We start from the raw sequence: 25,790 nt of genomic DNA on the forward strand, positions 1-25,790 counted from the left end.
GCGGAGGCTGCAGTGAGCCGAGATCTTGCCACTGCACTTCAGCCTGGGTGACACAGCGAGACCCTGTCTCAAAATAAATAAATAAATAAAAATACAAATAAAACAAATAAATAAATAATAAAAACCAAACAAAAACAACCAAAAAAAAAAAAAACTCAAAATGTATCAAAGACCTAAATGTAAATGCTTAAACTATAAAACTCATATAAGAAAATCTTCATGCCCTTAGGTTAGACAATGTGGCTTTTTTTTTTTTTTAGTTATGACATTAAAAACACAAGGTACAAAAGAAAAAGTAAGTTGTACTTAGTGAAAATAAAAAACTTTTGTGCTTTAAGAACGCATCAAGAAACTGAAAAAAACTTACGAAATAGGAGAAAATATTTGCAAATCATATATCTGATAATGTAAAACTCCTACAACTCAATAAATGACCAATAACCTGATTGAAAAATAGGCCAAGTATTTGAATAGATATTTATCCAAAGAGGATATATAAAAGGCCAATATGCACATAAAAAGATGCTCTACATCATTAGCTACTGGGAAAATGCTCATCAAAAGCATTTGAGATACTACTTCACACCCATTAGGCTGGCTATAGTTAAAATGACAAGTATGGCAACAATGTGGAGAAATTGTAACACTCATATATTGCTGGTAGAAATGTAAAATGATGCAGTGCCTTGGAAGACCCTTTGACAATTCCTCAAAGAGTTCATCATAGAGTTACCGTGTTGCCCAGCAGTTGCCCGCCTAGGTATATACCCAAGATATCTGCAAACGTGGGTTGACACAAAAACTTGTGCATAAATGTTCATAGTAGCATTATTCATTATAGCCAAAAGATGGAAACAACCCAAATATATATCATTTGATGAATGGATAAGCAATATGTTGTATATTTATACAATGGAATATTATTTAGTCGTAAAAAGAAATGCACTGATATATGCTACGACATGCATGAACCTTGAAAATATTGTGCTAAGAAGTCAGGCACAAAAGGTCACCTGTTGATTTCATTTAAATGAAATGTTCAGAAGAAGCGAATCCATAGAGACAAAAAAATGGTGTTTGCTAGGGGCTGATTGGGTGAAGAGGTAATGAGTAGTAACTGCTAATGGGTATGGGGTTTCTTTTTTTTTTTTTTTTTTTGAAATGCAGTCTTGCTCTGTTGCTCAGGCTGGAGTGCAGTGGCAAGATCTCGGCTCACTACAACCTCTGCCTCCCGGGTTCAAGCGATTCTCCTGCCTCAACCTCCCAAGTAGCTGGGATTACAGGCACCCACCACCACGCCCAGCTAATTTTTGTATTTTTACTAGAGACGGGGTTTCACCATATTGGTCAGGCTGGTCTCGAACTCCTGACCTCAGGTGATCCACCCGCCTCGGCCTCCCAAAGTGCTGGGATTACAGGTGTGAGCCAACACACTCGGCCGGGTATGGGGTTTCTTATTGTAATGGAAATGTTCTGAAATTAGATAGTAGTGACAGTTACACAAGTCTGTGAATATATCAACAACCACTGACTTGTACTCTTAGAAAGGGTGAATTTTATGGTATGTGAATTATAGCTCAGCTTAAAAAGGAGCTTTAGGATTGGTCAACTTTATATATAGTTTAAGTGGCGTGATTTTACATCTCATGATACATCCTTCTTTCTAATATATTGCCTTCATTGGCTCACATTACATTTATAAATTCCCTTCTTGTTGTTTTTCCCATTCCCTACATCACTTGGTACAGTGCTTTGCAAAATGTATAACTTTATAAATTATTTTGGGTGCTGAAATTTATGTATGAAATACTTTTTCATCCCCTTAAGCCCCTAATAAAAAAAAATTACCCAACCTTCACATTTTATTTCTCCCTACTAGAAAATAAATTCCCTAATGCTAAGATTCATGGTAGATTCATCTCCATACCCAACTCTACCTTATTTATTTATTTATTTATTATTTATTAATTTATTTGGCACAGAGTCTCGCTTTGTCACCCAGACTGGAGTGCAATGGCACAATCTTGGCTCACTGCAACCTCTGTCTCCTGGGTTCGAGCAATTCTCTTGCCTCAGCCTTCTGAGTAGCTGGAATTACAGGCGCACACCACCACACCTGGCTAATTTTCGTATTTTTAGTAGAGACGGGGTTTCACCACGTTGGCCAGGCTGATCTCGAACTCCTAACCTCAAGTGATCTGCCCCCCTCAGCCTCCCAAAGTGCTGGGATTATGGGCGCGAGCCAGCGTGCCCGGCCCCAACTCTCACTTCTATTTCTACCTTGTACCTAGCACAGTGCCTTGGATAAAGACACTTCTTACGATTCTTTTTCTTTTTCCCCTCTCCGATTTGAATGTAATCTCCTTGAAGATTAATACTGGATTGCATTCATCACCCACTTGTGTAGTCTTATTCTTTACATGTAAGTTCTTAATGAATGAATAAATTCTGTTATATCTGTTCTCCCACATGCCACCGCAAATTGTACTTTTTTATTTTATTTTATTTTATTTTTGAGATGGTTTCACTCTTGTTCCAACTCATGTTTCAAATGAATTTGTTCTAGTGTAACTCAGCATCTATCATTTTAGCTGTTAAGACTGTTACTCATTTATTTGTCTTAAATTGTGAATGCAAAGATAACATGAACTATTGTCCCAGGGGTCATTGCCTTTGTAAATTTGTTTGTAAAATTTCCAAATAAGAGCCCTTTCTAAGCAAGTGCCTGCCAAATATGGCTGGATGATGGTAAAATCCCAACTCTCCTTTCACCTATTTGGATTTTATATTCTTTCAGGAGGCAGCTTTCTTACCTTTGGAACAATTACTTATGTAAGAGGAAAAGTGGGTTTCCACAGAGAATGAAATAGGTACTAGCTAGTTCAGTAGTCCAGGAAGCTACCAAGATCAGTCTTCAAGAGGAAATATTGTAACCTGGCAACCAAACTCTGTCTCTGGTGTTTTCTGGAGGCATTTTTCTTAAGTTGGAATTGAGGCAGGTAGACTAGGGGAAATGTGAGTGAGTGGAGGCAGGGGCATGAAGCTTGCACCGTGGCTGTGAATTAATATAGCTTTTCTGTCCCTGGGTCTCTGGGTCTAGCACTTTTCAATTCGAAACATTACCAAATAAAACCAGTGCATCAATTTGTTAAAAAAAAAAAATTGACTGGCAGCTTTATAAGCCTATTTCTCGAATAATGCTTCCTGCTGATTATTTCTTTATATGTGTATTTAAAAAATTCAGCCAGGCACGGTGGCTCATGCCTGTAATCCCAGCACTTTGGGAGGCCAAGGCGGGTGGATCACCTGAGGTCAGGAGTTCGAGACCAACCTGACCAATACGGTGAAACCTCGTCTCTACTAAAAATACAAAAATTAGCCAGGTGTGGGGGCCTGCGCCTGTAGTCCCAGCTACATGGGAGGCTGAGACAGGAGAATCGCTTGAACCCGAGAGAGGAGAGGCAGAGGTTGCAGTGAGCCGAGTTTGCGCCACTGCACTCCAGCCTGGGTGACAGAGTGAGACTCTGTCTCAAAAAAATAAAAAAAATAAATAAATAAAAAGTCATTTTCCTCCCAAACAGACAAAGTCCCAAGAGTCATCAGAACAAAACTGCAATAGATTTCATTTTTTTTTTTTTTGAGACGGAGTCTTGCTCTGTCGCCCAGGCTGGAGTGCAGTGGCGCTATCTCGGCTCACTGCAACCTCCGCCTCCTGGATTCAAGTGATTATCTCGCCTCAGCCTCTCGAGTAGCTGGGATTGCAGGTGCCCACCGCCACATCCAGCTAATTTTTGTATTGCTGTAATTGTTGGCCAGTCTGGTCTCAAACTCCTGATCTCAGGTGATCCGCCCACCTCGGCCTCCCAAAGTGCTGGGATTACAGGCATGAGCCACCGTGCCCGGCAGGTTTCACTCATTTTTATCCCCCTTTCTACTTACCATTAAATTACTACAGAGGGATGTTTTGTACCTGCCCCAAAATAAATGCATGGTGTGCTACTGCCAAAAGAAAATATGACAGAATTTACAGTCATATTTGCCTCCTCTGCAACATTCAGACTTGATCCTTCTTTTACCCTACATTGTCTATCTGATTCCCTACTCTTTTAGTACTAGTTCTTTCTTAGGAGCTCAACAGTTCCTTTTGCAATTGGTTTTTGGTGCCTGTCCTACAAATTTCCAAGATGTGCTCAAATATGCCTAAACCCTAGGAGATGAAACAGTTTAAGCTTAGAGACCTCTCCACCTCTATTACTGACCTTTGAACACGTAACTGGTTTTATGTGGTGTTTTTGGTGTTTTACTCCAAAATGTCCATATGTCAATGCCCAGATGTTTTATACAACTGTGTATCATTACCTTCCTTTTGAGGGTGACGATATCAAAATAAAGACAGAAAAGTAATGATGCAAATGAATAGAATAAGAGGTGTTCTATGTGGGGGTCTCGTAGAAAACCAGAGACAACATTAGTGCATAGAGAGAAACTATAGCTTTGGAAAGGGATTAGGACCTCTAAAGTGTCTTTTCCTTACCGGTGAAGCACAAGCCTTCCCCCAGAAACCTGCACCACTCACACATAATGCTTCACAAACAAGTTTTGGCCTCGGTTTTTTCATACTTTTGGGGCTGGTATCCAGCTAGTGTATTTTCCCTCATGGAGCGGGAACAACAGAGATAAAGGTTTTGATAAATATAGAGGCCTCTTAGAAGTGTCAGGACTGAATCTAAAAGAGCTGAATCTAAAAGAAGAGGGAGGCTGGGTGCGGTGGCTCACGCCTATAATACCAGCACTTTGGGAGGCTGAGGCGGGTGGATCACTTGAGGTCAGGAGTGCAAGACCAGCCTGGCCATGATGGTGAGACCCCCGTCTCTAGTAAAAATTAGCTGGACATGGTGGCAGATGCCTGTAATCCCAGCTACTTAGGAGGCTGAGGCTGGAGAATCGCTTGAACCCAGGAGGCGGAGGTAGCACCGAGCCAAGATCGCGCCACTGCACTCCAGCCTGGGCGACAGAGCAAGACTCCGTCTCAAAAAAATAAAACAAAAATAAATAAAAGAAGAGGGAAGATGGAAGGACTTTTAGGCTCAAGAGCAGCATCTCAACTCTTTTTTTTTTTTTTTTTTTTTGAGACGGAGTCTGGCACGGTCGCCCAGGCTGGAATGCAGCAGCACGATCTCAGCTCACTGCAACCTCCGCCTCCCGGGTTCAAGCGATTCTCCCACCTCAGCCTCCCAAGTAGCTGGGATTACACTGAGATTACAGGCAAGCGCCACCACACCTGGCTACCAACTCTTTTATGAAGACTCTTTTGTTTACAGAATTAAAGGAAGCACCTTGTTCTGAATCCAGTTTTGCCATTGACGGACTCACTGTATGACTAGGCCAAAACCCTCTGGTTTCTGTTTTCCCATTAGTTGGTTGAAGTACATACACCCTCATCTATCGGAACACGGGGCTTAGTAAAGTGAAAAGAAGTAGGTTCTAGCTCATTCTAGCACTTTTGGAAAATTGGGTCACCTCTTTGGGCCTTAATTTCGTCATCTATAAAACAGGAAAAAATCAGTCCTCAGCTTACCTGATGTTGCAATGACTTAGTGAGATAACAGAAGTGAATGGCAGCTTTGTCTATCATACTTGTGAGGTAAAGTTAATGAGAGTGAGAGATCTGGAAATAGGGAAGAAAGAAAGGAGTCGAGGCAAAGCTAAAAGAAATTTGGGTTGGGAAAGGAAAAAAGAAATGAAGAGAAAGAAAAAGGAAAAGGGAATTTCAAAAGAGATAAAGGCTGTGAGAGGAAGTGCAACAGGTCAGGAAACTGGGGGAGGGTCCACGGCAACGGCTGCGGCACGGCAACGGCTGCGGCACGGCAACGGCTGGGGCACGGCAACGGCTGGTGCATGTTGCCGGCGGAGGCATTTAGGTAGTGCACGACGGCTGGGCGCCGGGCCTGTTTGGCTGTGACGCCCACCCCCGGCTTTCATCCGCCTATGCCCTAGGGCTAGTGGAAGACTTAAGATGGCGGCGTTTGCACGGAGTGCAATCACTGCGTCCTTACGGGGGTTGCAAGGCGTCCGAAGTATGAGTCCACTAACAAAAGTCCAGAAACTCGCCAGTTAATAGTATTGTGGTGAGTGATGAGCCTCACGTTGGCTAGAGAAGTGGCCGTTAGCGAGGCTACACACTTTGGGATCGCGTGGCCTGAGTCGGGGGAGTAACCGGCCTGTATTCCATTTTTCTCTCTCCAGTCTCTTCAAAATATCGGAGAATAATTTCTTTCTCGCTGATCGCCTAACTTCTACTGACGAAGCTTGGAAGTTGCAGAAGGTAGCTCCTAGGAGGGATATATGGGTCGTTCTTTCCTTTTTCCTTATTTAAATGGGTTTTTATTGACACCATGTCGCGCCAAAATGGATTCCATCTCCTCAGAGCTTTCCTAGGAACAGCCTAACCTCTTGGGCCTAACTTTATTTTTTTTTTGTTCTGCCTTTCATGTCCAGACTTATTAGTTTTAATTAATTTGTTTGTAACGTATTCATTATGCACTAGATTAAACAATTTTTTTCTGTGCCCACTATACCCCAAATGTGGAGTTTTGGGCAAAAACTTAACATTTGTTCTTGAAGCATCTCAGAGGTGTGTGTGTGTGTGTGTAATCTTTGGGGGACTTACATTGCCAGGTTGATTACTCACTAAGAAAAGAGCTAGATTTCCTGTTTTCAAATCTGTTGGCGAAATTAAGTTTATGTTAAGCATAGCATGTTTACTATATATATGGGGAAGACAGTTAAGAGTGACATCTAATATGTTGTTAAATGCTTATGTGATTAAAGTAAATTTCATGCATTACCGCGGAGTATGAATTGCTGCAACCTTTTAGAAAAGAATCTGGCAATATTTAGGGAAATAAAAAATACAGATATCACTTGAACAAAAACTGGAATTCAAAAGTCTGACTTTTAAGAATCTATCCTACAGAAATAAAAGTACCAGTATATAATGACGCATGAACAAGGATACTTTTGTACTATTTTGTTCTTGTGACAACTGGAAACAACCTGTGTATCCATCAATAGGAGAATGTTTGAGTAAATTTTGGTACATAAATATTATGAAATATTTTGACTTTTGACCTAGAGAATCTTATGATGGATGGTTATGTGAGAAAAGTAAGTTGCAGAATAGTCTAGTATGAGTCCTTTTTTTTTTTTGATGGGGTGATGAAGGAATGCAAGATTAACTTCTTTATCTTTTGGAGGAGACGTTAAATATATTATGAAATACTTAAGACATATACAGATATACAAGGAATAATACAATGAACCTCTCTTCTCACCACCCAACGTAAAAAAAAAATCAAACATTAACGTGACAGTTGAAGTTCTCTGTGTACCCATCCCTGATTGCATCTCTCTCTTCTCTCATCCCCAGAGGTAACCATTATTTTAAACTTAGTGATTTTTACCATGCATTTCTTAAACTTCTGTGACATAGCAACTTCTAGCATGGATTATTTTTTGTAAATATTGAAGATGAATTTTTAAAAAAAGTCAATGAAAGAAGAAAGCAAGTGTCTATCTGACTTTTTTTTTTTTTTTTTTTTTGAGATGAAGTCTTGCTTGTTGCCCCGGCTAGAGCGTAGTGGCGCAATCTTGGCTCACTGCAACCTTCACCACCCCAGTTCAAGCGATTCTCCTGCCTCAGCCTCCCGAGTAGCTGGGATTGCAGGCGCCTGCCACTGTGCCCGGCTAATTTTAATTTAATTTTAATTTATTTTATATATATATAGAGAGAGAGAGAGGGAGAGAGACAGACAGACATGGAGTCTTGCTCTGTCACCCAGGCAGGAGTGTAGTGGCTCGATCTCGGTTCACTGTAACTTCCGCCTCCTGGGTTCAAGCGATTCTCATGCCTCAGCATCCAGAGTAGCCGAGATTACAGGCACACCTTGCCACGCCTGGCTAATTTTTGTATTTTTAGTAGAGACGGGTTTCCCTATATTGGCCAGGCTGGTCTCCAACCCCTGACCTCTGGTAATCTGCCTGCCTCGGCCTCCCAAAGTATTGGGATTACAGGCGTGAGCCACTGTGCCCAGCCTTATCTGACTATTACTGTAACAGTGGCCAATCAAAATTCCTTCTTTTCTTTTTTTTTTTCCTTGAGCCTAGAAATTTCTTAATTGAGGGGAGAATCTAGCAAGCAGTTGAGTCAAAGGGTGTAGATTATACTACAGTGGTAAAGAAAGTAAGCAGCTGGCAGTGAAAGCAATCTCAAGCAAATAATGAATGTTCCATGAACAAGATGCCTGAATTGAAAAACAGAACAAAACCAACTAACCAAACAAAAAACAATCCGTGGATCCTAACTCAAATCCAAGGTGATTTGAGCCTGCACTTGTAATTAGACAAAATCTATGAACTTCAGTTGCCTTGGAGGCATCTGAGGGAAATGAGGTTGCATGTAGATGAATCAGTTGTTTCTGGCATCATGTTAGTGTGATTACATTTAGCTGCTGTGTGCAAAACATTTTAGCAATCATTTAGGTCCAGGACGTGGAATTTATTAGTGCAACAACCCTGTAAACAGTGGTTAGAACATTAATAATTTTATTTTATTTATGTTTTATTTATTTTTTGAGACGGATTTTTGCTCTTGTTGCCCAGGTTGGAGTGCAATGGCGCGATCTCGGCTGACTGCAACCTCCACCTCCTGGATTCAAGCTATTCTCCTGCCTCAGCCTGCCGAGTAGCTGGGATTACAGGCATGTGCCACCGCACCCAGCTAATTTTGTATTTTTTAGTAGAGATGGGGTTTCTCCATGTTGGTCAGGCTGGTCTTGAACTCCTGACCTCAGGTGATCCGCCCACCTCAGCCTCCCAAAGTGCTGGGATTACAGGCGTGAGCCACCGCGCCCGGCCAGAACATTAGTTTTAAACTTCCTAACCCTTGGGAGAAGGCAAAACACTTGATGAAATCTACATAAAGACTAAAACATTTTACCAATTTTGCATTGTTTGTTTGAAATTGCATTGACGACTGGTATGTTAATTTTGTATATATTTTTATGAGAACAATGTTGGACATCATTTAATTTTTTTAGGTTTTTTTAATTGATTATTGATTGGTTCATTTGCAGGAACTGACTATTAGTAATCAAGGATACAAATTGTTAAGAGAATATGTTACAGAGAAAAACTTGACAAGCTAGACTTAGATTTTTGTCGTTAAAGATAATTTGTGGGATATGATTTTTATAAGGAGTTGCATTAAATAGAATGTCTTACACAGATTTAAGAGGTTAATAATTATAAAATTAAGATGAGTTCTTATAAAATATTCTTGAGGTATAATAAAATTATACTTGTGGAGTATATCTTTGAATAACATTTAAAAGCAAACTAATACTTTCCAGGTAAAATAATTATCAACATAACTTTTTAAAAATAATTCATAGTACTTCAGGTTATTTCTATGTTTGACACATTAACTTAAAAGAAAAAAGGAAAATGGTGATTAGTTAATGCCATACACACTGGACAGAAAAGAAACTTAGCTCTTATGGATTCCTCTCCATATTTTGCAGCAGGGTAAATGTAAGTTTTCTTACGTAGCTAGATACTGTGTTCCAGTGCTGTTGATGTTGTACTGTTTTAGCAATGAAGAGATTGATATGGGCTGATTGGGGGTTAGGGAAAGTGAAGCAGCAGAACCAGAACAGAGTGGACATTTAAAGGGTGCTAATAAGTAAATAATTATGTGAAGTAGCATACTGGTCGAAATGCATAACTCAAAGATAATCGGGAAGCGTATTTTCTTTTCTTTTCTTTTTTTTTTTTGAGATGGAGTCTCGCTCTGTCGCCCAGGCTGGAGTGCAGTGGCACGATCTTGGTTCACTGTAAGCTCCGCCTCCCAGGTTCACGCCATTCTCCTGCCTCAGCCTCCCAAGTAGCTGGGACTACAGGCGCCTGCCACCATGCCCAGCTAATTTTTTTGTATTTTTAGTAGAGACGGGGTTTTACCGTGTTAGCCAGGATGGTCTCGACCTCCTGACCTCGTGATCTGCCCGCCTCGGCCTCCCAAAGTGCTGGGATTACAGGCTTGAGCCACCGCGCCCGGCCGGGAAGCATGTTTTCTGAAACATAACCTAAGAAAGTATAAATGCTGCCTTGTGCCTACAATCCTGGTGACAAGAGCAAGACTTCGTCTCAAAAAAAAAAAAAAGTATAAAAGCTCCTTAAAGGATGTTTCAAAATAATGAATAATATTAATTTCTATATTGTATATTCACAAATGTTCTTTCTAGAATAATTATTTGCTTAATGGGGTGCATGTTTAGTTGGTGAGAAATGAATTAATAGGTTAGTGATTTATTATCTGTTGGGAAAAATTTTAGACATTCACATGAAAGTAGAGAGAATAACATAAATGAATTTCCATATATGGATCACTTAGATTTAGCAACCGTTATGATTTTGCCTTACTTGCCTTTTCCCCCAAAATACTGTAAAGTAAATTACAGTTATCATGACATTTTCTTCTAAATAAGTCAATATAAACATATAATAAACAAGGACCTTTTTCTATATAGTCACAATGCCATCACTATACATAGTAGGATTAACAGTAATTCCGTAATTTTTTTTTTGTTTTTGAGATGAAGTCTTGCTCTTGTCACCCAGGCTGGAGTGCAATGGTGTGATCTCGGCTCACTGCAACCTCGACCTCCCGGGTTCAAGTGATTCTCCTGCCTCAGCCTCCCGAGTAGCTGGGATTACAGGGGCCTGCCACCATGCCCGGCTAATTTTTGTATTTTTGGTAGAGATGGGGTTTCACCATGTTAGCCAGGCTGGTCTGGAACTCCTAATCTCAGGTGATCCGTCTGCCTCGGCCTCCCAAAGTGCTGGGATTACAGGCGTGAGCCACCGCGCCCGGCCATTCCTTAATGTTTAACACCCAGTGCATATTCAGATTTTCCCAGTTGTCCGCAGGATGTCTTTTATAGCTGCTTTCTTCAAACCAGGATCTATTCGGAGACCACACATTGCATTTGATTTTTATGTCTTTTGAGCCTTTTAAAATTTAGAGCAGTTCCCTATAACCCCTTCTTTTGTTTGTTTTATGAAATTGGCTTGTTGAACTTCACAAAACACGAGTTGGGGTCATGCCAACTGTACCGTTAGTGATTAGTTTACATATAGGGAAAATAATTTGTGAATGTTGGTCCATTCACTCTGCCAGCTATACCATGGCAGCATTTCCAGTATCAGGAAAGCAAACCAGGGGATCTAAAACTGAGCATTAAAAACTCTCCCCTATCCAGTGAAAGAGATAAGAATGCCAGTTGTGAGAAAATTGAAGGGGAAACGGAGAATGTCAGTGTTAAAGATATTTGAACTTTTTTTTTTTATCCATTTGAAAGGTATTTTTTTTGGGTGAACTATTTGTTAATATTCTTGGTCCTGTAAAAAAAAAATTGGTGTTTGGACTTTTTCTTATTGTAGACACTCTTCATAAATTAAGGAAATTCGCCTTTTTTTGTTATAATATTGCAGACTTTTTTTTTTTTTGAGATGGAGTCTTGCTCTGTCGCCAGGCTGGAGTGCAGTGGCACGATCTTGGCTCACTGCAACCTCCGCCTCCCAGGTTCAAGCGATTCTCCTGCCTCAGCCTCCCGCGTAGCTGGGACTACAGGCGTGTGGCACCATGCCCAGCTAATTTTTGTATTTTTAGTAGAGATGGGGTTTTACCATGTTGGCCAGGATGGTCTCGATCTCTTGACCTTTTGATCCGCCCGCCTTGGCCTCCGAAAGTGGTGGGATTACAGGCATGAGCCACTGCACCCGGCCTGCAGATATTTTTTTCAGTTAGCTACTTTTCTTTTCACTTTATAGTATTTTTTTACTTAATTGTGGCACAATACACATTAGTGTTTTAGCCATTTTAAAGTATACAATTTAGTGGCATTTCATACATTCACAGTGTTGTGCATCCATCACTGCTGTCTAGTTCCAACAGATTTTAATCACTTCTAAAAGAAACCCTGTACTCATTCCCTTTGCCCTCTATCCCATGGCTACTAATTTGCTTTCTGTTTATGGATTTGCCTGTTCTGAATATTGTATACAAGTGGGATCATATATAGTAGACCCTTGAGGAATGGGGGGGTTAGGGTCACCAACCCCTCATACAGTCAAATCTGCATAAAATTTTTAATTCCACCAAAACTTAACTAATAGCCTACTGTTGACTGGAAGCCTTACCAATAACATAGTCAATTAACACATACTTTCTATGGTAATTTATTATCTACTATATTCTTGCAATTAGCTAGAGAAGAAAATGTTATTAAAAATCAGAAGGAAGAGAGAGTATATTTACGATTCATTAAATGTAAGTGGATCATCATGAAGGTCTTCATCCTTTTTGTCTTCATGTTGAGTAGGCTGAGGAAGAGGAGGGGTTGGTCTTGCTGTCTAGGGAGTGGTAGAGGTGGAAAAGATGGAGGAGGCAGGAGAGGCAGACATACCTGGTGTAACTTTTACTGAAAAAAAATACATAAAAGTGGACCCACGCAGTTCAAAACCATGTTCAGGGGTCAACTGTAATATGTGATCTCTTGTGTCTGACTTCTTTCATTTAGCATAACATCTTCAACATTCATCCATACTGTAGCATATAATTTGTACTTAATTCCTTTTTATGATTGAATAATCTATATATGAATGTACCACCTTTTGTTCATCAGTTGATGAATGTATTTACATGCATTTAAATAAAATTTTTTTTTTTGGGTTTTTTTTTTGAGACGGATTCTCACCCAGGCTGGAGTGCAGTGGCACGATCTCGGCTCACTGCGACCTCCGCCTCCCAGGTTCAAGCGATTCTTCTGCCTCAGCCTCCCGAGTAGCTGGGATTACAGGCACACGCCACCATGCCCGGCTAATTTTTTTTGTATTTTTAGTAGAGACGGGGTTTTACCATGTTGGTCAGGCTGGTCTGGAACTCCTGACCTCGTGATCCGCCCTCCTCGGCCTCGCAAAGTGCTGGGATTATAGTCGTTAGCCACCGCACACAGCCAAGAAAATGTATTTAAAGAAAATATGGGGCTGGGCATGGTGGCTCACACCTATACTTCCAGCAGTGTAGGAGGCCGAGGCCGGCAGAACGGTTAAGCCCAGGAGTTCGAGACTAACCTGGGCAGCATGATGAAACCCCATCTCTCCAAAAAATACAAAAATTAGCTGGGTATAATGGCCTGCACCTGTAGTCCCAGCTACTTGGGAGGCTGAAGTGGGAGGATCGCTTGAGCCTGGGAGGTAGAGGTTGCAGTGAACTGAAATCACGCCACTGCACTCCAGCCTGGGCAACTGGGTGAGGGTCTGTCTCAAAAAAAGAAAAAAGTAAGACAATATGGTATAAATTGGGGATGGTGAAGGGACATAAAGAAAAGTTAGTTTCTAAACTGGACTTGAATTAATGTTGACAGCCGTAGAATGTAATAAGTAATGTATATATATAATGTGAAGCAACCACTAAAAATGCCATGCATATATGCAAAAACTCTAGAGAGGAATCAGAATTTTATAAAATGTTCAGCTAACTCACAGAAAGGCAGATAAAAACAGACAAATAGAAAACTAAGAACAAAGGAAAAATAAATCGCAGACTTAAACCCTAACATATGAACAATTACATTAGATTTAAATCGTTTAAATGTACCATTTAAAAGATAAGAGATTTTCAGAGTGGCAATGACGTAACTGTATGTGTTAATATGAGACTTCAAATATGACTATATAGGCTGGGCATGGTAGCTCACACCTGTAATCCTGGCACTTTGGGAGGCCGAGGTGGGTGGATCACCTGAGGTCAGGAGTTCAAGACCAGCATGGCCAACATGGCAAAACCCCATTTCTACTAGAAATACAAAAAATTAGCCAGGCGTGGTGGCACACACCTGTAGTCCCAGATACTCGAGAGGCTGAGGTAGGAGAATCACTTGAACCCGGGAGGCGGAGGTTGCAGGGAGCCGAGATCGTGCCACTGCACTCCAGCCTGGGAGAGAGAGTGAGACTCCATCTCAAAAAGCAAACAAAAAACCCCCCCAAATATGACTGTATAAGCAGATTGAAAGTAAAAGGATGGGCAAAGATATACCATGCAAACTTTAATCAAATGAAAGCAGTACTGGCTATGTTAGATAAAGTAGGCTTCAGACAAATTACTATAGACAAAAGAGGGATGTTTTATAATGAAATTCACCAAGAAGACATGGCAGTTCTAAAGCACCTGTATCAAACAATAGAGCTACAAAATATGTGAAGCAAAAACTGCTAGAACTGAAAGTAGAAATAGACAGGTCCATAATTATAGTTGGAGAGTTCAGCAGCCTTCTCACAACAACTGGCAGAACAATTAGAAAATCAGCAAGTACACAGTTCAACAATGTAATAAACCAACAAGATCTAATTGCCATTTATAGAATGCTCAACAACTGTAGAATTATTACATTTTGAATATATTATATGTTATATATTTTATATATATATATTTTATATATATATATATATTTTGAGACAAGAGTCTCGCTCTTGTCACCCAGGCTAGAGTGCAGTGGCGCGATCTCGGCTCACTGCAACCTCTGCCTCCTGGGTTCAAGCGATTCTCCTGCCTCAGCCTCCCAAGGAGCTGGGATTACAGGTGCCCGCTACCACGCCTGGCTAATTTTTGTATTTTTAGTAGAGACGGGGTTTCACCATGTTGTCCAGGCTGGTCTCGAACTCCTGACCTTGGGTGATCCTCCCGCCTCAGCATCCCAAAGTGCTGGGATTACAGGCGTGAGCCAACGTGCCTGGCTGACCCCAAATACTTTTAACAAAGTATTAACACATTGATTCCAGCAATATATGAAAAGAAATTGATAGACCACGACCAAGTTGGAATTTTTATAGTTATATAAGATTGGTTCAGCAATTGAAAATCAATCTTATGGATATGTAAGATTGGTTCAGCATTTGAAAATCAGTCAATATAATGTACTATATCAGCAGTCTGAAAAACAATCATAATTGATTATATTGATGCAGAAAAAAACATATGACAGAGTCAAATACCTATTCTTGATAATGATTTTCAGAAAATGAGGAATAAGTATCTATAAAAAAACTGTAGCTGATATTATACATAATGGTGAAAAACTGACTCTTACCCCTAAGATCAGGAAAAAGCAAAGGATGTCCATTCTTATCTTCCTTATTCAACATAGTAATAGAAATTCAAGCCACTGTAGTGAGGTAAGAACAAGAAATAAAAGATATCCCAATTGGAAAGAAAGACATTTGTCCCTATATGCAGATGGCATGATTGTCTATGTAGAAAATCTCAAGGAATCTAAAAAACAACCCCCAAATTTCTAGAACTAATGAGTTAGTAACACCACAGGCTAAAAGATCTACACACAAAAATGAATGAATCACGTTGCTTTTTTTTTTTTTTGAGATGGAGTCTCGTTCTGTTGCCAGGCTGGAGTGCAGTGGCCTGATCTCGGCTCACTGCAATCTCGGCTCACTGCAATTTCTGCCTCCCGGGTTCAAGTGATTCCCCTGCCTCAGCCTCCTGAGTAGCTGGGAATACAGGCATGCACCACCATGCCCGGCTAATTTTTTGTGTTTTAGTAAAGATGGGGTTTCACCATGTTGGCCAGGCTGGTCTCGATCTCCTGACCTCATGATCTGCCCGCCTTAGCCTCCCAAAGTGCTGGGATTACAGGTATGAGCCACTGCGCCCGGAATGAATCACATTTCTATATACTAGCAATTTAATATGTGGAAACGGAAATTATATACAAAGTACCATTTACAAGCACTGCAAAGAAACACAACATTTAGACATAAGTAAACATGTACAGGACTTGTATTTTGTAAATTACAAAATGCTGGTGAAAGAAACTCAGGAAGTCCTATATAATTGAAAAGACTTATCATGTTCATGACTTGGGAAACTCAACATAGTAATGATGTCAATTCTCCACAAATTGATAGGTTTAATGGAATTTCCATTTAAATCCTAGTATGTTTTTGTAGATATAGAAAAGCTTATTTTAAAATGTATGTGGAAAGGCACAGGCCTTAAAATAGCTAAAACCATCTTGAAAAATAGTACATTGGTAGAATCATTAACTTGACATTAATGCCTACTATATTCCTATATTAAGACAGTGTTGTATTGGTGGAGGATAGACACATAAATCAGTGTAACATAATTGAGAACTGAGAAATAGACATATACAATTAGGCCCGACTGAATTTTGTCAAACGTGGAATAGCAGTTCAGTAATGAAAGAAAGCCTTTTTAACAATGGTGCTTGACCAATTGTCCATCTGTAGGCAAAAAGATGAACCTGAGTCTCATATCTAATACAAAAATGTACTCAAAATGAATTAGAGACTTAAATGTAAAACTTAAAACTATAAAACTTTTAGAAGAAAACATAGGAGGAAATCTTCAGTTTGTGCTAGGCAAGGAGTTCTTACTCTTAATATGCTTAAAAGGATGATCTGTAAAAGGAAAAATTGATGAATTAAATTTTATTGAAGTTAGAAACTCTTGTTCTGCTAAAGACTCTGTTAAGAGAATGAAGAGAGGCTACAGAGTAGGATAATTTATTTGTAAACCACATATCTTGCAAATTAATTGTATTTAGAATACATAAACTCTGGAAACTCAGTAAAAAAGCAACCAGTCCAATTAGAACATGAGCAAAAGACATGAAGAGATTATTTCATGGAAGAAGATACACAGATGGCAAATAAAATAAAAGGATGTTTAACATTATTAACCATTTTGGAAATGCACATTAAAATCACAACAGAAATCACTGTACACTTATCAAATAGTCATAACACCAAGTATTGGTTAGGATGAAGAGAATATGGATTACTTATCCACTGCTGATTGGAATGTAAAATGGCATAGCCCCTCTGGGAAACTGTTTGGTAGTTTCTTATTAAAATAAACCTGCAGGCCAGGTGGGGTGGCTCACTCCTGTAATCCCAGCACTTTGGGAGGCAGAGGTGGGCTGATCACCTGGAGGTCAGGAGTTTGAGACCAGCCTGACCAACGTGAAGAAACCCCGTCTCTACTGAGAATACAAAAATTGGCTGGGCGTGGTGGCTCACGCCTGTAATCCCAGCACTTTGGGAGGCCGAGGTGGGCGGATCATGAGGTCAGGAGATCAAGACCATCCTAGCTAAGATGAGGAAACCCCGTCTTTACTAAAAATACAAAAAATAAGCCGGGCATGGTGGTGGGCGCCTGTAGTCCTAGCTACTCGGGAGGCTGAGGCAGGAGAATGGCGTGAACCCGGGAGGCAGAATTTGTGGTGAGCAGAGATCGCGCCACTGCACTCCAGCCTGGGCGACAGAGACTCTGTCTCAAAACAAAGCAAAAATTAACTGGGTGTGGTGGTGCATGCCTGTAATCTCAGCTACTCGGGAGGCTGAGGCAGGAGAATTGCTTGAACCTGGGAAGCGGATGTTGCGGTGAGCCGAGATTGTGCCATTGCACTCCAGCCTGGGCAACGAGCGAAACTCCGTCTCAAAAAAACAAAACCAAAACAAAAAACCACAAACCTGCAACTACCATATGACCCAGCATTTTCATTCTTGAGTGTTTATCCCAGAGAAATGAAAACTTAACGTTCTTGCAAAAATTTGTGTATGAATGTTCATGGCATCTTTGTTCATGATAGTAACAACACAGAAGTGCCCAGATGTCCTTTAATGGGTGAATGGCTAAACAAATGGTGGTGCATTCATAACATAATACCACACAGGAATGAAAAACAAAGCTGATGCACAAAACAACCTGGATGAATTCCCAGAGAATTATGCTGAATGAAAAAAGCCAATCTCTGACGTATAGTTACATACTATATTATACTATTTACATAATATTCTTTTTTTTTCTTTTTTTTTTTGAGATGGAGTCTCACTCTGTCGCCAAGGCTGGAGTGCAGTGGCACGATCTCGGCTCACTGCATCCTCCACCTCCTGGGTACAAGTGATTCTCTGCCTCAGCCTCCAGAGTAGCTGGGTTTACAGGCGCCAGCCACCATGCTCGGCTAATTTTTGTTTTAGTGATTCTCCTGCCTCAGCCTCCCGAGTAGCTGGGACTACAGGCGCGCGCCACCATGCCCGTTTAATTTTTGTATTTTTAGTAGAGATGGGGTTTTACTATGTTGGCCAGGCTGGTCTTGAACTCCTGACTTCCTGATCTGCCCACCTTGGCCTCCCAAAGTGCTAGGATTACAGGCGTGAGCCACCGTGCCCAGCCTGATACCTTGTTTTCTACAAGAATGTTAGGTTAACTGATAGGGAAGTTGTCACTGAGTAGACATCAGATAATGTTTTTGGGATAGGGCAATAAGCCATAAGGTGGGGGCAGATCTAGGGGAACATCTAGCTGAGGTGGTGGCCAATAGTTTTCTTTTTTTTCTTTTTTTTGAGAAGAAGTCTCACTCACTCAGCCCAAGCTGGAGTGCAGTGGCACGATCTCGGCTCTCTGCAACCTCCACCTCCCGGGTTCAAGCGATTCTCCTGCCTCAGCTTCCCGGGTAGCTGGGATTACAGGTGCCCGCCACCATGCCCGGCTAATTTGTGTATTTTCAGTAGAGATGAGGTTTCACTGTTGGCGAGGCTGGTCTTGAACTCCTGACCTCGTGATCCACCCGCCTTGGCCTCCCAAAGTGCTGGGACAAGCGTAAACCACCACCCCCGGCCAACAGTTCTCAATATGTGGACCTTTCAAGGGATCTGTAAAGTGAAAGCTGTTTTTCTTAATACTAAGTTGTTTTTACCGTATTGACATCTTTACTGATGGTGTTGAAGCAGTGGAAAATAAACATTTTACCTGAATACAAATCAAGGTAGTGGCACCAAATTGTATCAGTAGTCATTGTATTCTTCACCCCACACCTGTAGTTTTTTTTAAAAAAAGTCAGTTTCTTTTAAGAATGTCTTTGATGAGGGTGGGGCACCGTGGCTTATGCCTGTAGTCTTCGCTGCTTCGTAGGCTGAGGTGGGAGTCTGAGGCGGGAGGATTCCTTGAGCCCAGGAGTTCGAGGCTAAGAGTGACCTGTGGTCGTGCCACTGCACTCCAGCCTAGGTGACAGAGTAAGACTCTCTCAAAAAATGTCTTTGATGAGCAGTAAAGTTACTAGTTTCATTAAATATGGACCCTTGAGTACGTGTCTTCTTAATATGGTGTGATGAAAAGGGAAGTATGCGTGAAGCAGTTCTGCAAACTGAATTTTAAATTATCTTGAGGAAAATCACCTGTAACATTGTCAGCAAGCTGTACTGCTCACTTTTTAAAATTTACAACATTATACTTAGAAGAATAACTAATAGACAAGCTACAGTTTTTTACACTTGGGTATTGACCAGATATGTTTTTCTAAATAAAATGGGCTTATCCTTTCAAGGAAAACAACTGATAGTACTTGTTGCCTATTTTAAATTAGCTTTCAAACAAAATTTAGAATTTCTGTATACTTGTATCTACTTCTGTGAACTTGATAGCTTCCCAGTACTTAAAGACTTTTCTGTTAACATCAGATTTTAAAGAAAGTGGTTTTTAAATATTGCTTAATGAAATATGTCAACATTTGAAACATCTGCATTGCTCAGTGAAACAGTATTTTGTAAATGATCCATTTAGGATGTTAAAAATCATGCATGGCTGGGCATGGTGGCTCACGCCTGTAATCCCAGCACTTTGGGAGGCTGAGGCAGGTGAATCACCTGAGGTCAGGAGTTTGAGACCAGCCTGGCCAACATGGTGAAACCCTGGCTCTACTAAAAATACAAACAATTAGCCAGGCGTGGTGGCAGGCACCTATAATCCCAGCTACTCGGGAGGCTGAGGCAGGAGAATTGCTTGAACCCGGGAGGTGGAGGTTGCAGTGAGCCGAGATCACGCCACTGCACTCCAGCCTGGGTGACAGGGTGAGACTCCATCTCAAAAAGAAAAAAAACACAAAACAAAAAACCAAGGAGTATGACTGCCGGTTCATATGGTAAGAGTATATTTAGTTTTGTGAGAAACCACGAAACTGTCTTCCAAAATTGCTGTACTGTTGATGCATTCCCACCAGCCATGAATGAGAGTTCCTGTTGCTCCACAATCTCAACAGCATTTGGTGTTACCAGTGTTTTGGATTTTCACCATTCTAATAGGTGTGCAATGGGACTGTTTAATTTGCAACTCCCTAATGACATACAAAGTTGAGCATGTTTTCATGTTCTTATTTACCATCTGTATATGTTCTCTGGCGAGATTTCTGTTGACATCTTTTGTCCATTTTAAAAATTGGGCTATTTATTGAGTTTTAAGTGCTGTCTGTATGTTTTAGGTAACAGTCCTTTATCAGTTATGTGTTTTGCAGATTTTTTTTGACTTATCGTTTCATATTTTAATGGTGTCTTTTGTGGAGTAATTTTTTTTTAATTTTAATAACATTTAGCTTGTCAATGATTTCTTTTATGGATTATGCTTTTGGTATTGTATCTAGAAAGTAATTGCCATACCCAGTGATGTCTAGATTTTCTCAAATGTTGGAGTTCTATTTACAGTTTTGCATTTTACATTTAGGTCTGGCATCCATTTTGAATTAATATTTGTGAAGGGTGTAAAGTTTGTATTAGATTCATTTTTTGGCATTTGGATATTCAGCTATTCCAACACTATTTGTTGCTCCATTGTATTGCCTTTGCTTCTTTCTCAACGATTAGTTGACTATATTTATGTCTCTATCTGGGCTCTTTATTCTGTTCCATTGATCCATTTATCCATTCCTTCACCAATTTCACACTGTCTGGATTACCATAGCTTTTTATTAAGTCTTGAAGTCAAGCAGTGACTATTCTTTTTTTTTTTTTTTTTTTGAGACTGAGTCTCGCTCTGTTGCCCAGGCTGAAGTGCAGTGGCACAATCCTGGCTCACCGCAACTTCTGCCTCCTGGATTCAGGCGATTCTCCTGCCTCAGCCTCCCAAGTAGCTGGGATTACAGGCACACACCACCACACCCAACTAATTTTTGTATTTTTAGTAGAGACGGGCTTTTACCATGTTGGCCGGGCTGGCCTCGAACTCCTGACCTCAAGTGATCTGCCCGTCTTGGCCTCCCAAAGTGCTGGGATTACAGGCGTGAGCCACTGTGCCTGGCGCAGTGACTTTATTATTTCCCCTTCAATATTGTGATGGATATTTTGAGTCTTTTGGCTCTCCATATAAAATTCACAATCAGTTTGCTGATATCCACAAATATGCTGGGAGTTTGGAATTGCATGAAATCTGTAGATGAAGTTGGGAAGAAGTGACATCTTGACAGTATTGTCTTTGTATCCACAAACATAGAATATCTCTCCATTTGTGTAATTTTTTTTTCTTTCATTAGACTTTTGTAGTTTTTTTTTTTCATATAGATCTTGTATGTATTTTGGTAGATTTATACCTAAATATTTCATTTTTGGGGCTGCTAGTGTATATGCTATTTTGTTTTTAATTCCACCTGTTCATTGCTGGTATATTGGGAAGCAATTCGCTACTGTATGTGTGTGTGTGTGTGTGTGTATATATATTTTGAGACGGAGTTTCACTCTTATTGCCCAGGCTGGAGTGCAATGGCGCGATCTCGGCGCCCCACAACCTCCGCCTCCCAGGTTCAAGTGATTCTCCTGCCTCAGCCTCCCTAGTAGCTGGGATTACAGGCATGTGCCACCACGCCTGGCTAATTTTGTATTTTTAGTAGAGACAGGGTTTCTCCATGTTGGTCAGGCTGGTCTCGAATTCCTGACCTCAGGTGATCCCCCCGCCTAGGCCTCCCAAAGTGCTGGGATTACAGGCATGAGCCACCGCGCCCGGCCTTGCTACTGAATATGAACCTTGGTTTTTTTTGGTTGATTGTTTTGGAATGTCTACATAGATGATCATGTTATCTGTGAACAAAGACAGTGTGAGTTCTTCCCTCCCAGTGTGTGTACCTTTTATTTCCTTTTTTTTTGTCTTATTTCATTAGGTAGGACTTCCAGTACAATATTGGAAAGGAGCGGTGAGAGGAGACATGCTTGCCTTGTTCTTGATCTTAATGGAAAGGTGTTCAGTTTCTTACCTTTTTTTTTTTTCTTTTTTTTGAGATGGAGTCTCACTCTTGTTATCCAGGCTGGAGTGCAATGGCACGATCTTGGCTCACTGCAACCTCTGCCTCCCGGGTTCAAGCGATTCTCTTGCCTCAGCCTCCCTAGTAGCTGGGATTACAGGTGCCTGCCACCACACCCAGCTCATTTTTAAATTTTTAATAGAGACAGGGTTTCACTATGTTGGCCAGACTTGTCTCGAACTCCTGACCTCAGGTGATCCGCCTGCCTCTGTGTCCCAAAGTGCTGGGATTACAGGCGTGAGCTACTGCGCCCAGCCAGTTTCTTACCTTTAAGTATGTTGTTAGTTGTTAAGTTCTTTATAAAGTTGAGGAAGTTCCCCTCTATTCCAAGTTTGCTGAGTTGTTTTTACTATGAATGGGAGTTGGGTTTTGTGAAATGCTTTTTCTCCATCCATTTAAATGATCATGTGGTTTTTCTTCTTTAGCCTGCTGATATTATGGATTGCATTAGTAGATTTTCAAATGTTGAACCAGTCTTGTATACCTGATATAAACCCCACTTGTTCATAGTGTATATTATTTTCTCCTTCTCTGTGAGTTTTGGCACCTTGTTTCTTTCAAGGTATTGGTCTATTTGGTCTATTTTACCTTTTTTAGTGGTTGCCCTAGAGCTTGCAATATATATTTACAAGTCCATTTTGAAGTAACACTGCATTACTTCATTGATAGTGCAAGTACTTTTTAATAACAAAATAGTTCTAATTCCTCTTTTTTCTCCCTTGTGTCTTTGCTATCATTCATTTCATATGTACATAAACTATAATCATTGAATATATTGTTAGTATTCTTACTTTGAACAAACTTAACTGATTAATTAAGAATAAAATAATAAAAGTTTTTATAATAGCTTTACTTATTCCTTTTCTGATCAAGAAGAAATTCTTCTTCCTTTCTTTATGTAGATCTGAGTTTCTGAGCTGTATAGTTTTCCTTTTCCCTGAAGAACTTTTTTTGAAAAACGTTTCTGACAAGCTAGATCTACTTACAACAAATTCCTTCAATTTGTTTTTGTCTGAGAAAGAGTATTTCTCCTTTAGTTTTGAAGGATGATTTTGCAGGTACAGAATTCTAGGTTTTTTTTTTTCCTCTCTCTCTAAAAACTCTTAAGTATTTCAGTCTTCTTGCTTGCATGTTTTCTGAGATGTCAGATATAATTATCTTTACTCCTCTATGGTAAGGTGTTTTTTTCTCCACTGGGCGGTTTCTTTGAAGATTTTTTCCTGTATCTTTGATTTTCTGCAGGCTGAGTAGGATATGCCTAGGTGTAGTTTTGTTTGTTTGTTTTGGCATTTATATTGTTTGGTGTTCTCTTAGCTTCCTGAATTTGTAGTTTGGTGTCTGACATTAATTTGGGGAAAATTCTCCATCATTATTGCTTCAAATACTACTTTTCCATTTTTTCTCCTCTGTTATTCCAGTTACATGCATGTTACACCTTTTATGGTTGCACGGTTCTTCAATATTCTGTTCTTTTTTTTTTTTTTTTTGAGATGGGGTCTCACTCTGTTGCCCAGGCTGGAGTACAGTGGCACGATCTCAGTTCACTGCAACCTCTGCCTCCCAGGTTCAAGCGATTCTCTGCCTCAGCCTCCTGAGTAGCTGGGATTACAGGCGCCTGCCACCACACCCAGCTAATTTGTGTATTTTTAGTAGAGACGAGGTTTTACCATCTTGGCCAGGCTGGTCTTGAACTCCTGACCTCGTGATCCACCTGCCACAACCTCCCAAAGTGGTGGGATTACAGGCGTGAGCCACCGCGCCTGGCCGGTTGTTGTTGTTGTTCTTTTTTTTTTTTTAGTCATTTCTCTTTGATTTTTAGTTTTGAGAGTTTTTATTGACATATCCTCAAGTTCAGAGATTCTTTTCCTCAGCTGTGTCCAGTGTACAGAGTCTATCAAAGTCATTCTTCATTGCTGTTGTAGTGTTTTAGATCTTTAGCATTTGTTTTTGATTCTTTCTGCATCTCTGCTTACATTACACATGTATTTTTGCATATTGTCTACTTTTTTCCTTAGAGCCCTTAGTATGTTAATCAAATCGGAGTTATTTTAAATTTCCAGTGTGATAATTTCAACACCCATGACATATCTGTCTGGTACTGATGCTTGCTATTTCTCTTCAAGCAATGTTTTTTACTTTTTAAAATGCCTTGTAATTTTTTTTTTTTTTTTGAAAGCCAGACATGATGTATTGAGTAAAAGGAACTTCGGTACACAGGCCTTTAGTGATGTGGTGGTAAGATGTATGGTAAGTGGAAATGTTCTGTATACCTACGATTAATTCTTAGCCTGTGCTCCTGGGCTGCGAACTTTGCAACTGCTTCTCAGTCTTCTCTATCCTCCACTTATATGGGATATGATGGCTAGAGGGGGCTGAGTTGGGTAGTTCCTTTACCCCAAGAGAAAGGCTAGAGGGGCAGGTAATGGGTATTTCCCTTTCTCCAGGTCAGTTAGGCTCTAATTAAGTAGTTTGTCTTGAGTGGAGGCCTTGATATGAACAGAATGCTGTTATGTATTTCAAAATGGTTGTATGTTCTTCCCCTGCTGGAAGTGAGACAGGAAAAGTTCCCTTGTTCCCCTCGCAGGGCACGCGATGAGGGTGTGGATTGCTTCTTCAGTGCCTGCTGGCTCAAAACTCTAGGTGGAGCATGCAGTCAGGCAGGCTGCGGGGCTCTGACCCCACGGCAGTGTCTAGGGTTGAATTTTGTTTTTGTTTTTTGAGATGGAGACTCACTCTGTTGCCCAGGCTGGAGTGTAGTGGTGCGATCTCGGATCATTGCAACCCCCGCCTCCCAGGTTCAGGCGATTCTCCTGCTCAGCCTCCCAAATAGCTGGGATTACAGGCGTGTGCCACCATGCCTGGCTAATTTTTGTATTTTTAGTAGAGACAGGATTTCACCATGTTGGTCAGGCTGGCCTTGAACTCCTGACCTCGTGATCCACCTGCCCCAGCCTCCCAAAGTGCTGGGATTACAGGCAGGAGCCACTGCACCCGGCCCTCTAGGAGTGAATGTTTACAGCTGAAGCCCCAGTGGGCATTTGTTACAGGGTGCTCTTTTAGTTTAGCCGTCCATAGGTAGCTTGTGTTAGTCAGCACAATTAAACCCCCTGCCTTATGGCAAGGACAGAGAACTTTCTGTATCCTGGGGTTCTTGCCTTGTTGTACTGGAAGAATTGGATCACACGTGGGCTTGAGTGCAAGGTTTTATTGAGTGGAAGTAGCTCCAACAGATAGGGTTGCCAGAAGAGATAGGGTTTTCCCCTGGCGTTAGGCTGCTTGGTTGCCCAGGCTCTCCTCCGACTGCCCAGGCCAAACTCCACGTCATTCAACCGGTCATTTGATGGCCTGCCAGCATCTGTTGGTGTGCTCTTCCACTGGCATCCTCCCCTTGACGTCCTCTTGACGTCCAGCCGCTTGTGTCTTCTGCTGCTGCTGTGTTCCTTTCAACGTCCAGCTGCTTGTGTCTCTGCCTGCTAGGGTCTTGGGGTTTTTTTTGTTTGATTGAGATGGAGCCTTGCTCTGTCATCCAGGCTGGAGTGCAGTGGTGCGATCTCGGCTCACCACAACCTCCAC

The 25,790-nt window shown here is 40.9% G+C and overlaps 1 long non-coding RNA gene across 1 annotated transcript in view, besides 1 other annotated feature; it reads left to right on the top strand.

Moving 5' to 3' along the window:
* JPX (JPX transcript, XIST activator) overlaps nt 5,987–25,790 on the top strand; it is a 126,061-nt gene continuing 106,257 nt past the window's right edge. The window contains exons 1-2 of the long non-coding RNA NR_024582.1: nt 5,987–6,128; nt 6,247–6,325. This is a non-coding gene — a long non-coding RNA (JPX transcript, XIST activator). The remainder of the gene's footprint in view (nt 6,129–6,246; nt 6,326–25,790) is intronic.
* Nucleotides 6,012–6,111: an enhancer, noted in NCBI's record as "active region_29765". NCBI's record gives its function as "activates an Ori minimal core promoter by ATAC-STARR-seq in GM12878 lymphoblastoid cells {active_cell/tissue: GM12878}" and the evidence as "EXISTENCE:reporter gene assay evidence [ECO:0000049][PMID:35858748]".

The sequence above is a fragment of the Homo sapiens genome, chromosome X, assembly GCF_000001405.40.
Source record: "Homo sapiens chromosome X, GRCh38.p14 Primary Assembly".
Taxonomy (NCBI): Eukaryota; Metazoa; Chordata; class Mammalia; order Primates; family Hominidae; genus Homo; species Homo sapiens.